The 14,617-nt window shown below is 36.8% G+C and overlaps 1 long non-coding RNA gene across 5 annotated transcripts in view; it reads right to left on the bottom strand.

Annotated features, from left to right (window-relative positions):
• LOC105378027 (uncharacterized) overlaps window positions 1-14,617 on the bottom strand; it is a 246,946-nt gene that overhangs the window by 25,124 nt on the left and 207,205 nt on the right. For all 5 annotated transcript variants that reach the window (XR_001744387.3, XR_001744385.2, XR_007059791.1 and 2 more), the window contains one exon: window positions 2,278-2,417. This is a non-coding gene — a long non-coding RNA (uncharacterized LOC105378027). The remainder of the gene's footprint in view (window positions 1-2,277; window positions 2,418-14,617) is intronic.

Genomic DNA, 14,617 nt, shown 5'->3' with positions numbered 1-14,617 from the left:
GCATGACCTCTCTAAGCATGACCTTCCTATTGATACCAGGATTCTTCCTGCCTCTAGCTTTGGTTGTACCATGTTTTATTTCTGACACTGGGTTGTACTACCATGAGATCTAAGATCATTTTGATAGGTCAGTGGAATTTTAGTTTTTCAAAGTTTTTTTTTTTTTTTTTAAACAAGAGGTGAGAAAAGAATGTTTTACCAACAGAAAAAGTATGATAAGCCCAGTTTTCTGTCTGGAAGAGACACAATGTTTCTAAGTTAGTAAGAATTTGGGAGTACATTGCTTCTTTTTACCTTTGAAATCATCAAGCAACATAATGTACTGGGAGTCAGACTACAATTTCTACTAGAAAACATATTTGCATTTTAGCCTGATCTTTCTGCATGCAAAAATGTCATAAGTTTTAAGTAATAGTTTCCCTTTTGTAATTTATCATAACTCTCATTTAATGTGTAAGAAGAACAATCTTACAGTAAATAAAGTAAATATTAACAAAGGTTTATTTTGCAAAGGTTTACTTGTTGAAAAACATTCTTAAACCAGAGTAGCAAATAAGTACCGTCAGGCCAAATCCAGCCCCCATGTATTTTTGTAAAGAAGTTGTATTGGAATACATCACAAATTCATTAATGTGTTGTTTATGGCAGGTTCATGCTACAACAGCACAGTCAACTATTTGCTGCAGAGACCATGTGTCTAGAAAAGTAAAACATAACTACAATCTGATGCTTTGTGGAAAAAAAGTATGTTGACATCAATCTAAATAATATCTGATACTGAATTCAATGATTTTGGAAAACTTAAAATATATGCATTCACATATTTATTTAAAATGAAATACAATAGAGCAGATGAATACTCCATATGTTTGTCAAATGATATTTTGTAAAACAATCTTATGTTTCTACTGTTTCTGGTAAAGAGCAGAGTTGTCATTAAACATGCAACATTGAGAAACTACATCAACAGCCTGTTGCCATTTAAGTAATATATTTCAGACATATATTAGGTGACAAAATAGTTTTATATAATTATCTTTTGTTTCATTTTTGAGGTGATTGGAAAGAAAAAATCCTTTAATGTTCATTTCATCCTCCAAGTATAAATAAAAATATTAATATTTTTAAAACCCTATATTTTTATAATTTGTTTACAGTGTGAATAAATGTATGAGGACAAATATTGGCTTAAAAAGGGTACTGTTGTGTGCACTATTAAAATCAAGTTTCAGTCAGACCTGTATAAAGCAGTTGAATTGTCATAGAAGATTTTAGTTTAGAAGCCCACCATAGTGACAGAGTTATCTTTTTAAATTTATTGTTCTTTTAGTGTATTGCTTGGAATATTTGCATAAAAATAAGTGTTTTATTTCTTGGTTCATCTGCTTCTACAAATGTCATATTCTCATGATTATGATGCCCCAACTAGAAATTATAATGACATTAGAAACTGATTATGACTTCTGAATGAGACAAGCTGGAGGACCAGGCTAAATATACAAGTAATGAAAAGAATGTGTTTTCATGCAAAGTCTTGAGTATTATTAAAGAACAAAGGGAAAGGGAAACAAGGAAATGGGAAGATACAAATAAAAATAATGAGCAATTATATTCTGCTTACCAAAATTCCCCCTGCAGTTTCAATCAATGTCTCTGCTTTTGCTTTCTGTTCTAAAGAATTATGCTACTTCTGCTAAATAAATCCAGCATGATCCAAAGCAGCTGTGACTGTCTTTCTGTGATTAATTAATTAATTCTCACTATTTTTTAGTTTACCGTTTCATTGCATAGGTTTCAAACACCCTACTTCAGCTTTTACTTCTTGTTCAATCTTGCAATGCATAAATGATTTCATGACAGAAATTTGACCCTTGACATTAGACTCCAAAGTTACTAAGGAGTCTCATATTCAAACAAACGCCCCACAAGGAGAGGAAGTATGCATGATGCAATACTTGACTTAGGCAGGTCTCTAAACTTTAGCTCTACTTTCTATAAAATGGGCACAAAAATATCACCTAACCCAAGGAGTTGTTGGAGAATTAAATGAGACAACATATGCCTAAAGTGGATAAGACAATGTGTAGCACGTGGTCAATGCTCAGTAAATGTTAACTAATACAGTCACAAACTTGTAATTTATATGCTTATTCAAACAATGGAACAACCATTACAATTATGGATAACTTCTTGACTTAAACATTAGAAAAAGCTTTATACTTATAATTACATATTTTGTTTATAACCACCAAATAATATTTTATGTTCGTTTAATACCTGCTTTTCTCTGCAAAGCTGATGTTGACTTGCTGTTGGCTATGTTAAGAAATCAGATCTACGTTGGAAAAGAGATGCTTGGCATAGACACCAGAATCCTCACATTGGACCCCCCTGTCATGGCAGTGATGAGGCAAGACCTGCAAAGAAAGCAGACTCAATGAGTGTCCCAGAGGTTCTGTGAAGAGCATTAGTTATTAGTTGATGTTGTATACCAGCTGCCTCCCAGTTAAAAATGGGTGAGCCTCTGAGAGAAAACGTGTTATATAGGTCTCTATTGAAAAGCGTCATTGGAATTAGATTTACTAAAACTAGTTTCACCCTATTTGCATGGCCAAGTTGATTACTCCCACCCAAAAAAAGGTATATTGATAAAATATTTCTGACTGAAACTAGCCTACATTAAATTTGCACCACCTATAACTAGACTACAGGAATGACCCCTTAATTAGTGTATGCCCATCATCAGGGCTGCTACACTCAGTTCCATAGTCCATTATTATCTAAAAATAAAATATAACTAGGCCACCTCCCTCCACATTCAAAATCTGTTGGTGTTTGCACATACAAGCTAAAGCTCAACCTTCATAGCATCCATACAAGCTTCTTGCTCACCTGGACCTTGCCTTCTTCTCCAGCCTCATTTTTCAAGGCTCCCCAACCCTACCCTCACCTGTGCCCCTTGCTAGGAGCTTTTTCCTCTGAGAATCTCAAAGTATGGTACTCTGAGCTGAATTTACTTGGTGTGACTGAGGTTTCATCAGACTTATTTCTGTTTCAAAGCAGACAATGTTTCTCTTTATTACATTCAATAAACATTTATTCAATAAATGCATTTCAGTTTTCTTATTATTCTTAGTCATGAGGTGTTTCCTAATGACTTGCCTAAGACTTTCTTTTAAGAATTCAAATGCTTTTCTGGCAAGCCACCCCTTAAGGAAATGTAGAATTAAATCAAAAGACATTGCACACATTTCTTCATATACTAAAAGATGTTGTAGAGCAATAATATATTGTCTTTTTTTAAACCATTCATAGTGTCTATCATAGAAATTTGCATCTTAATAGATGTTCAATAAACTTTTGAATAGTGATTATGGGTGAAGTATCACTTTGTTTCACTAGACTGATATAAACAAAACTTAGAGACTTAGATTCTCATCTATTAAAATGGATAGTAACTGTTACTTTGTTAGAAAATGTAAAAATTACAAAATAATTGAAAAAATATCCTCATATGCCCTAATATGTCAAGATATTGATTACTATAAGCAAGTAGCAAGTGTGGAAAGCTTGATACATATTTTGATTTATTCTCCTAAGCGTTTGGGCATCCTTGAGCTAGTATTTCTCTAGAGAGCAACAGTAAAGTGGGCAGCTGCTACTCATACTGGATCCATATAACAGCTTTCCCACAACTATGATACAAGTTTCTACATAATTGGATTTTTGGATGAGGTGACAATTACTTCCAAGTTTTCTGTCAGTTATTCTCCAGGGTGTTATTCAAAATATTGTATATAACAACTGGTACAATAAGTGCCAACCAATCAGAGCACACACCCATCCATTCAGAGCAGACAACAGCCATAAACAACCAGTGCAGCAACTTGGCTTGAGCCATTTCTTACTTTGCTGGAATTCTCATTAAAAACAGAAGCCATTTACCTTTCATGCACTAGGGCAGGGCTTCAAAATATACCTCTCTAAACATCAAGAGAAGAAAATTCGTCTTGGACTTTCTTCCCTTATTTTTTTTCTTTAAGCACAATAATCTGTTAAGAGCCGTTATTGTGACAGAAATTAAACTGGGACTGGAAAAATTGCTAGGCATGCTATATTTTAAGCAGGTAAAATTTTAACAGTGCATGTAAAAATGTAGGTTTTTTTTAATAGTACTAGGTTTCCATAGAATATGATCATTTGGCTAGTAAATTTCAGTTAGAGTAAAATAATGCCTTCTTTGGGAAACTTTAGCTTCATGCTACTAATTCTGTAATTTCCCTCATATATCTTCATTTGTTCCTGTAAATCAAGATAATTTCTGTGAACATTTTCAAAGAATTTCAAAAAATACATAGTAACTACTCTAAATATCCCACTACTTCTATTATATTATTGGTCTTCGTGTTTTTGTTATTGACACTGAAAAGTCATGAATAGGGCAAACTCAAGATGAAATTGTGCAGCAGAGGAATGGTATTTCATGACATAAATCAGGCTCCCTTCACTGGCCTGTGCACTTTGACACACTTTCCCTCATTGCCGCCTACATCTGGACAATAGTTCATACACCTGATGTCTCCCTTTCTTCTCTTTTCCATGTACCAATGACATGTATTCATACTTCTTGCAAGGCTCTGCTCACAATCCTTGAGAAGAAAGTCATTCAAAAATTTTAACATGGACAATAATGTATTTTTGTGTCCATGTTCTTCAACATGCTTATATTTTAACATGGATCTTATGGAGACATAGTGAGTATATTATTTTAAAAACCCCCATGGCTATTGAGAATTTCAGAGAGGGTGGCAATCAGTAAGAGAAAGAAATATTGCTATTTGAACATCCATTCACCCCCACAGTATATAAGGCCATGTATGTCTCTTAATTTTTGTTAAAGAGAAATAGACTTCTAGCTTATTATATTTTATAAGCATATGATATTTATTCATTTAAAACTCCTATTAATAGTGAGACAAAACCTCAGGTCAGGAAAAGGTCAGCATATTTTGAATCTTTCCATTGTGTTTTCAAAGGAAACTTCTAAGAATAATTGAAGGAATACAAGCTATGGAAACAGTCTTACTAAATTTAGTTGAATATTTCCAGTTTTATTCATAAAATTCTTTCTCTTTTTTTGGTGAGGTGGTTCAGAATAAGAACTGTGGGACTGGACCCATTAAATTTATTTTATCACTTTTAATGCAAAGATTATTACTGTAATTTACATATCTCAGTAAGAGCCAAAAGCTTCCTGCTGTGGCTTTTTCCACCAATGTGCTACAAATTAACAACCCAGCTACATTAAAGTAAATGAAAAAAAAAGTTAATTCTTTTCAATATAAGGAAAATTATCTGCCCAGGGGACTATATAATTTCCTCAATAAGATTCCCAGAAACAAGAAAACAGAGTTTTTGCATAAACTACAATAATGCTTTACTCCCATGTAAGACAGTAACGTAGATCTTAAGAAAATGTAGTAAAATCTGTATTGATCACCAACAATAAAAGCATTAACTTTGAGGCTGTGAACCATGTCAAAGTTGCAAGAGAAAAAATATGCACCAACAATATTTTCAAATATCACTAAGGCCTTAGTAATATAGAAATTATTATAGTATGACTTTTCTTCCTTATTTCTCATTGGTATCAAAGCACCAACTTCTGGTAAACAACTAGCCCAATACTTCAATAAGGAGCTTCCACAAGGAAACACGATCTCTGGAAGCTGGGTTAAGATGTCACTACCCAAACTAGACCAGTGGAGTAATGAACACATTTTATGCCTTATGTCTTGATGGGAATCACTAGATCCCCCAATGATACTTGTGCCAATATCACTTCCAGGCTTTTCCATGATAACAGAAAAATAACTTCAAGGGTCTGTCAACAGTGAACCAGTCTCCCAATGACCTGTGCTTATTTCAGATACCATTTACATCCTTAATCTTGTTCCTACATCTTCACTAATTTGTCTAAACCCAGTAAAGATTATCCCTCAAATTTTACTTTGCTCTGCTCCCTTTTGAAGCCAAAGTCATTCAGTTAACTTTAGGATATACGATATAATGTAGTCAGTTAACTGATGAGTTGATTATATAAATGAAAGAATGGACAGTATTTGAAAAAACATACCATAATATTTCAACAAATTTTTGTTCCATATTTTCCCTAAGAGCTATTTGTTAGGACATCATATTTAATTTTAACTATTAGTTGATGCTAAATAATGTAAGAACATAATATCTAAAGTTGGGTATAAACTCACAGAAATTCTGTTACTCTACAATTAACATAATAGACTGTCCAAAAATAATATACAAGCTCTCTGAATTGAGGTCATCTATTTTTTAATTAATACCTAATTTTGTTCACATACTGGGCTAGGCCTTAGGAAACAAAAACAAAATATATATTTTCCCTGAAAGATTTCACAGTCACCCTTATAAGAAACCATTTCAGTACCAACACATTCTTTTTATACTGAGAGATATTAACTACATCTTTGTAAAGACATCCTTACAAATATGTGTTATATTACTATTAATAAAACCAAAACAATATAATGAAATCTCAAACAACACTGAAGTGAAATCAGAGAGTGAAATAATCCAACTACCTGTAATCTTCCCTTTTGACATCTTATAGATAAGTATGGGTAATGTTTACCTGCATGTAACCTTTTGTCTTAAATATGCTGAATCACATTATACAAACTTTTCTATAATTTCCTCGGTATCCCATTTTATAGATGGGCAACAATAGATTTAACTTGTATCATTTAAACTATTTCACATGCAAGTCAATGTATTTAAACACATGGAAAAATTCAGTAGAGTTAATTTCCTTTCTCTATTGTGTTTAAAGTTACCCTGGCCATCAAAAAATCATTAATATATCTATCTTTAAAAATATTAATTCCACACCATTTATACTTGATATTTATTATGTATGTAATACAGAATAATTTGACAAATTAATTAAACATGTTTAAAGATAAGAAGATTCATTATCTTGAAATAGATTTTGAGGAATAAGGCGGATATTGTTAAAGGACTTTTATAGATAAAAGGAAACACAGTAAGAATGTGTCTGGTTCTCTACTGATCATAACTGATCATAAAAAGGAATATACACCAAAATGTTGGTGAACGCTTTTTTTTAAAGAGGATAGCATTAAATTTTCTGCATCAGCTTTAAAAGCTTCATTTTATGTCTATAATTGTATTTATTCCAAAGAGGCATGTGTTTGTATGCGTGCATGTGCATGTATATAAATTCACAAATTTCTTCCAAAATTCATATACAGATGCAGTGTACCTACATTATTTAAGACAATCTTGAAGGAGAACAAAGCTGAAGAAATTAAATTACCTAGATATCAATAATTACTATAAAATTTCAGTCTTTATGCTATTGGCACACTGATAAATTATTTGATCAATTGAAAAGAATAGGTAATCCAGAAAAAGACTCACTAATGTATGATTATATAATCCATTCCAAGAGTACTGTAGAATTCGGTGACAGCAAGGGTGGTGGGCTTTTCAATAAATGGTGCTGGGTCAATTAGATAGCCACACGGGAAAAAATTAAAACTTGACCATTTATTTTATGCCATTTACAAAAATTAATTAAAGGTGGAACACAGACCTATGATGAAAGTAAAACAATAAAGTTTCTAGAATAAAACATAGAAAAATATCTTCATAATCTTGGGGTAGGCCAAGATTAATAACTAGGGCACAAAAGCACTAACTTTGTCTCTTTTTTTAAAAAAAAGACTGATAAATTGGATTGCATAATTAAACTTAACACTTCTGTTGAGCAAAACTGACCATTAAAAGAATGAAAAGACAAGCTGCTGACTTGCAGAAAATATTTGCAATATCATATCAAAAAATCATGTATCTAGAAATCAGTAATATAACAATAGGAAACCATATCTTAAAATTAGCAAGGGACATGAAAAGGCACTTATTAGACAATGAAAATATACATATGATTGATAAATATGTATAAAGGTGTTCAACATGATTACTCGTCTGAGAAATGCAAATTAAAGCCATAATGTGGTATCAATAGGTAACCACAACAATGGCTAATCTTAAAAGAATGCATAATTCTGTACTACTCAGGATTATCCAGAGAAATAAAACCAGTAGTATGGTTAGGTAGCAAACTAGATGTAATATAGGATATATCACATATATCCCACAAAGAAATATCCTAGAATCATATATCCACAAAGAGATTTATAACAGTATATTGGCTTTGTGATTATGGAAACTGAGAATTCCCATGATCTTCCATGTCCAACTTGGAGATTCAGCAAACCCAGTGGTATAGTTCGAAGACCTTAGAGCCACAGAGCTGATGGTATAGATTCCAGTTCAAGTCCGAAGGCCTGAGAACCAAGAGCATCAGTGGCAAGTCGGATAGATGTCTCAGCTCAAGCAGTCAGGCAGAGACCTTCTTCCAATTTTTCTTCTACTTAGACTGTCAATGAATGGGATAACACCCACACTGGCGCCATCTGCTTTAGTTAGTTCACCAACCTAAATGCTAATCACTTCCAGAAAAATTCTGAAGACAAATCCAGAAATAATATCTAACCAGATATTTGTACAACTTGTGGCCTACTCAAATTGACACATAAAATTAATCACAACAGTCCACCTCTTGTAAACTTGGCACTCATACACATGCCATTAAACCATACTTAGTCTCTAATGAAAATAATAACAAGGTCAAAATTTCACTTAACATGATACAACTATCCACAATACAATCCAAAACATGCCACCCATTCCCCAGAAGTGGAGGCAAAATCCTTGAGTGATGTTTACTCTTTTCTTTGGCATCATATAATTTAAATACTAATACAAAATTATCAAATACTATGATAAAAAGTCAACACATCTTATGTGATAAGGGAAGAAGAGAGAAAAGAAAAAGATACTTAAGAGTTACACACACACACACAAACCTGGTTACAGTAACTGAGTCATGGGTCATAATTGGTATTACAAATACCTTCTTCTACTACCCATTCTGTGTTCTCTTTGCCTCCAGCTAGCACCTCAGCTGGTAGTGGTTCATTACCTGGTGGCATGAACCACTTTATTGACCACCACCAAACATTTATTCCTGAAGCATCTAAGCCATTAGTATTGAATTCTTGTAGTTTTCTATTTACCTTAATCACAGGGCATGATAATACTAAGAGATGCCTGAAGGGATCTCTTATATTTCAGACCTACTCTTCCTTACCTTCATGGTGGAGCAGTCGTATAATTTCCCCTTTGTAGTCTGGACAGATCACCTTAGCCAGGACAATAATTCCCCTTATTGCCTGTTGATTCAGAATCATGAGGAGCCCAAAGAAGCCAAATATCAGTCTTAACTTCCATTCCAAAGGACTTCTTGTTGTGTTTCTTGGTGGAAGTATTCCTCTCTTTGAGAGTAAGATTGTGAGGCCAACAGAGCATAAACTTGAGATAATAGGAAGCAAAAATTGTGCAAGTGTGTCACTAGGGATAACTGTGAGTGGTGCCACCCCCTTTTCCAACTCCACTCCCAGTACCAATTTCTGTTTCAGTCCATTGGGCTGCTACAACAAAAATACCACAGACCGGGTGGTTTATATAACAGAAATTTATTTCTCACAGTTCTGCAGTCTGGGAAGTCCAAGATCCAGGTGGTGTCATGGTTGAGTTCTGGTGAGGGCCCTCTTCTTGGTTTGCTGATGACCATCTTCTTGTCTCCTCACATAGTGGGGGTGAGGGGGGTGGCGAGAGAGAGAGAGAGAGCAAGCTCTCTTCAATTTCTTCTTATAAGAATACTAATAAATTAGGCCAGGCACGGTGGCTCACGCCTGTAATCCCAGCACTTTGGGAGGCTGAGGCAGACGGATCACAAGGTCAGGAGTTCAAGACCAGCCTGGCCAATATGGTGAAATCCCATCTCTACTAAAAATGCAAAAATTAGTCAGGCGTATTGGTGGACGCCTGTAGTCCCAGCTACTTGGGAAGTTGAGGCAGGAGAATCGCTTGAACCCCGGAGCGGGAGGTTGCAGTGAGCCGAGACCAGGCCACTGCACTCCAGCCTGGGAGACAAAGCGAGACTCTGTCTCAAAAAAAAAAAAACAACACTACAATTACATATAATATTATGTGTTTTTCTGTGTACCTAGTATTAACAGTGAGTTTTGTACTTTCACAGGTGAATATTTACTGCTCATCAATGTTATTTTCTTTCTTATTGAAAGAATATTTTTAGCATTCCTTGTAGGATAAGCTTGGCATTGATGAAATTCCTCAGCTTTTGTTTGTCTAGGGAAGTTATTATTTGTCCTGAATGTTGGAATAATATTGTCTCCATATATAATATTCTAGGGTAAAAGTTATTTTTCTTCAGCACTTTAAATATATCATACCACTCTCTCCTGGCCTGTAAGATTTCCACTGAAAATTCTACTTCCAAACATACTGAAGCTCCATTATATGTATTTGTTTCTTTTCTCTTGCTGTTTTTCCAATCCTTTCTTTATCCTTGACCTCTGGGAGTTTGATTATTAAATGCCTCAAGGTGGTCTTTTTTAGGGTTAAATCTGCTTGATGTTCTACAGCCTTCTTGTACTCGCATATTGACATATTTCTCTAGGTTTGAGACGTTCTCTGTTATTAATCCCTTTGAGTAAACTTACTACTCCTATCTCGTTCTCTACTTCCTCTTTAAGAGCATTAACTCTTAGCCCTTTTAAGGCTATTTTCTGAATCTCATATGTGTGCTTCATTGTTTTCTATTCTTTTGTCTCTTCTGACTGTGTATTTTCAAATAGCCTGTCTTGAAGCTCACTAATTATTTCTTCTGCTTGATCAAGTCTGCTATTAAAGGACTTTGATGCATTATTTAGTATGCCAATTGCATTTTCAGCTCCAGAATTTTGCTTGATTCTTTTTAATTATTTCAAGATCTTTGTTAAAATTATCTGATAGAATCCTGAATTCCTTCTATGTTACCTTGAATTATTTGAGTTCCCTCAACATTGCTATTTTAAATTCCGTCTGAAAGGACACACATCTCTGTTCTCCAAGATTGGTCTCTGGTTCCTTATTTTGTCCATTGGTGAGGTAATGTTTTCTTGAATTGGGTTGATGCTAATAGATGTTCTTCAGTTTCTGGACATAAAGGAGTTAGGTACTTATTGTAGTTTTTGTGGTCTGAGCTTATTTGTAGCCATCTTTCTTGGGGAGGCTTTCCAGATATTTGAAAAGACTTGGATGTTCTGATCTAAGCTGTGTCTTCTTTAGGAGGCACCACAACCCAGTCATCCTGTGGTTCTTGCAGACTCTTAGAAATACTGCCTTGATGGTCTTGAACCAGATCGGGGAGAATTCTCTGGATTACCAGGCAGAAACTCTTGTTCTCTTTCTTACTTTATCCCATACATACAGCGTTTCCCTCACTGTTCTGAGCCACCTAAAACTAGGAGTGGAGTAACACAATCACCCCTGTAATCACCACTTACTATGACCTGAATCCAACACAGTGCTGGGTCTCACCAAGGCCTGCTGTAACCACTCCCTGGCTACTGCCTATGTTCACCCAGTCCCTGTGGCTCTCCAATCAGCAGGAGACAAAGGACAGGCTTGTGTCCTTCCATTCAGAATGGCAAGATCCCTCAAGCCCCAAATGGGTCCAGAAGTGCCAGCCAAGAGACAGGGACTGAAGTAAAAAAAACTTAGAATTTGTATTAGTTTGTCCTCACGCTGCTGATAAAAACATATCCAAAACTGAGTAACTTAAGAGGTTTAATGGACTCACAATTCCACATGGCTGGGGAGGCCTCCCAATCATGGCAGAAGGTGCACGAGGAGCAAAGGCACATATTACATGGTGGCAGGCAACAGAGCCTGTGCAGGGGAACTACCCTTTTCAAAACCATCAGACCTCATGAGACTTATTCACTATCACAAGAACAGCAAGGGAAACACCTGCCTCCATGATTCAATTACCTCCCACTGGGTCCCTATCATGACATGTGGGGATTATGGGAGCTACAATTTGAGATGAGATTTGGGTAGGGACACAGCCAAACCATATCATTCCACTCCTAGCCCCTCCCAAATCTCATGTTCTCACATTTCAAAACCATCATGCCTTCCCAACAGTCCCCAAAGTCTTAACTCATTTCAGCATTAACTCAAAAGTCTGCAGTACAAAGTCTTATCTGAGACAAGGCAAGACCCTTCTGCCCTTGAGCCTATAAAATCAAAAGCAAGTTAGTTACTTCCTAGATACAGGCATTGGGTAAATAAACATGCTTCACATGTTAGAAACTGGCCAAAACAATGGGACTACAGGCCCCATACAAGTCTGAAATCCAGTGGGGCAGTCAAATCTTAAAGCCATGAAATGATCTCCTTTGACTCCATGTTTCACATTCAGGTCATGCTGATGCAAGAGGTGGGTTCCTATGGTCTTCATCAGATCCACCCCTGTGTCTTTTTAGGGTACAGCCCCCCCTCATGGCTGCTTTCTGGACTGACTTTCAGTGTTTGCAGCTTTCCCAGGTGCATAGTGCAAGCTGTTGGTGGATGTACCATTCTAGGGTCTGAAGGATGGTGGCTGTCTTCTCATAGCTCCACTAGGCAGTGCCCCAGTGGGGACTCCGTGCAGATTCTTGCACCTCACATTTTTTTTCTGCACTGCTCTAGCAGAGGTTCTCCATGAGGGCTCTGCCCCTGCAGCACACATCTGCCTGATATCTGGGCATTTCTATACATCCTCTGAAATCTAGGCAGAGCTTCTCAAACCTCAATTCTTGACTGCTATGCACCCATGGGACCAACACCATATGTAAGCCAACAAGGCTTGAGGCTTTCAACTCCTGAAGCAGCAATCTGAACTGAATGTTAGCCCCTTTTAGCCATAGCTGGAATGCAGGGCACCAAGTCCCAAAACTGCACAAAAGAGCAAGGCCATAAGCCTGGCCCAGGGAACCATTTGTTCCTCCTAGGCTTCCAGGCCTGTGATGGGAGGGGCTGCTGTGAAGACCTCGGACATGTCCTGGAAACATTTTCCCCATTGTCTTGGTGATTAACATTTGGTTCCTCATTACTTATGCGAATTCCTGCCACAGGCTTGAATTTCTCCTAAGAAAATCAGTTTGTTTGTTTGTTTGTTTTTACAGAGTCTCACCCTGTCACCCAGGCTGGAGTGCAGTGGTGCGATCTCGGCTCACTGCCACCTCCGTCTCCCAGGTTCAAGCAATTCTCTGCCTCAGCTTCCCGAGTAGCTGAGATTATAGGCACATGACAACACTCCCGGGTAATTTTTTTTGTATTTTTAGTAGAGATGGGGTTTCACCATCTTGACCAGGCTGGTCTTGAACTCCTGACCTCGTGATCCATCTGTCTTGGCCTTCCAAAGTGCTTGGATTACAGGCATGAGCCACTGCACCCAGCCTTTTTTTTTTTTTTTTTTTTTTTTTTTTTGAGACAGAGTCTCACTCTGTCGCCCAGGCTGGATTCAAGCTATTCTCCTCCCTCAGCCTCCCCAGTAGCTGGGACTGCAGGTGCCTGCCACCAGGCCCAGATAATTTTTGTATTTTTAGGAGAGATGGGGTTTCACCATATTGGCCAGGCTGGTCTCAAACTCCTGACCTTGTGATCTGCCTGCCTCAGCCTCCCAAAGTGCTGGGATTACAGGTGTCAGCCTTCGTGCCTGGCCCAGTTTTTCTTTTTTATTGCATTATCAGGCTGCAAATTTTTTGGACTTTTATGCTCTGCTTCCCTTTTAAACATAACTTCCAATTTCAAACCATATATTTGTGAACGAATGAAACTGAATACTTTTAAGAACACACAAGTTACCTCTTGAATGCTTTACTGCTTACAAATATCTGCCACCGGATACCCTAAATCATCCCTTTCAAGTTCAAAGTTCCATAGAAGTTTAGCGCAGGGGCAAAATGCTGCCAGTCTCTTTGCTAAAGCATAGCAAGAATCACCTTTGCTTCAGTTTCCAATAAGTTCCTCATCTCTATCTGAGACTGCCTTAGCCTGGACTTTATTGTCCATATCACTATCAGCATTTTGGTCAAAACCATTCAACAAGTCTCTAGGAAGCTCCAAACTTTCCAATATCTTCCTGTTTTCTGAGCCCTCCAGGTCTCTAGGAAGTTCCAAACCTTCCCACATTTTCCTACCTTCTTTTGACCCCTCCAAACTGTTCCAACCTTTGCCTATTACCCAGTGGCAAAGTCGCTTCCACATTTTGGGGTATGTTTACAGCAGTGCCAATTTACTGTATTAGTCCCTGCTTTCTCACATTGTTAATAAAGACATACCAAAGACTGGGTAATTTATAAAGATAAAGAGGTTTCATGGAGTCACAGCTCCTCATGGCTGGGGAGGTCCCACACTCATGGCAGAAGGTGCAAGAGGAACAAAGTCATGTCTTATATGGTGGCAGACAAGAGAGCATGTGCAGGGGAACTGCTCTTTATAAAACCATCAGATCTCATGAGATTTATTCACTATCACATAAAAAGCAAAGGAAAACCCTGCCCCCATGATTCAGTTACCTCCCACTGGGTCCCGTCCATGA

Source organism: Homo sapiens, chromosome 6 (assembly GCF_000001405.40).
Source record: "Homo sapiens chromosome 6, GRCh38.p14 Primary Assembly".
Lineage (NCBI taxonomy): Eukaryota > Metazoa > Chordata > Mammalia > Primates > Hominidae > Homo > Homo sapiens.
Note: the sequence above shows the minus strand (reverse complement) of the source record. Positions and strands in the feature narration are given on the sequence as shown.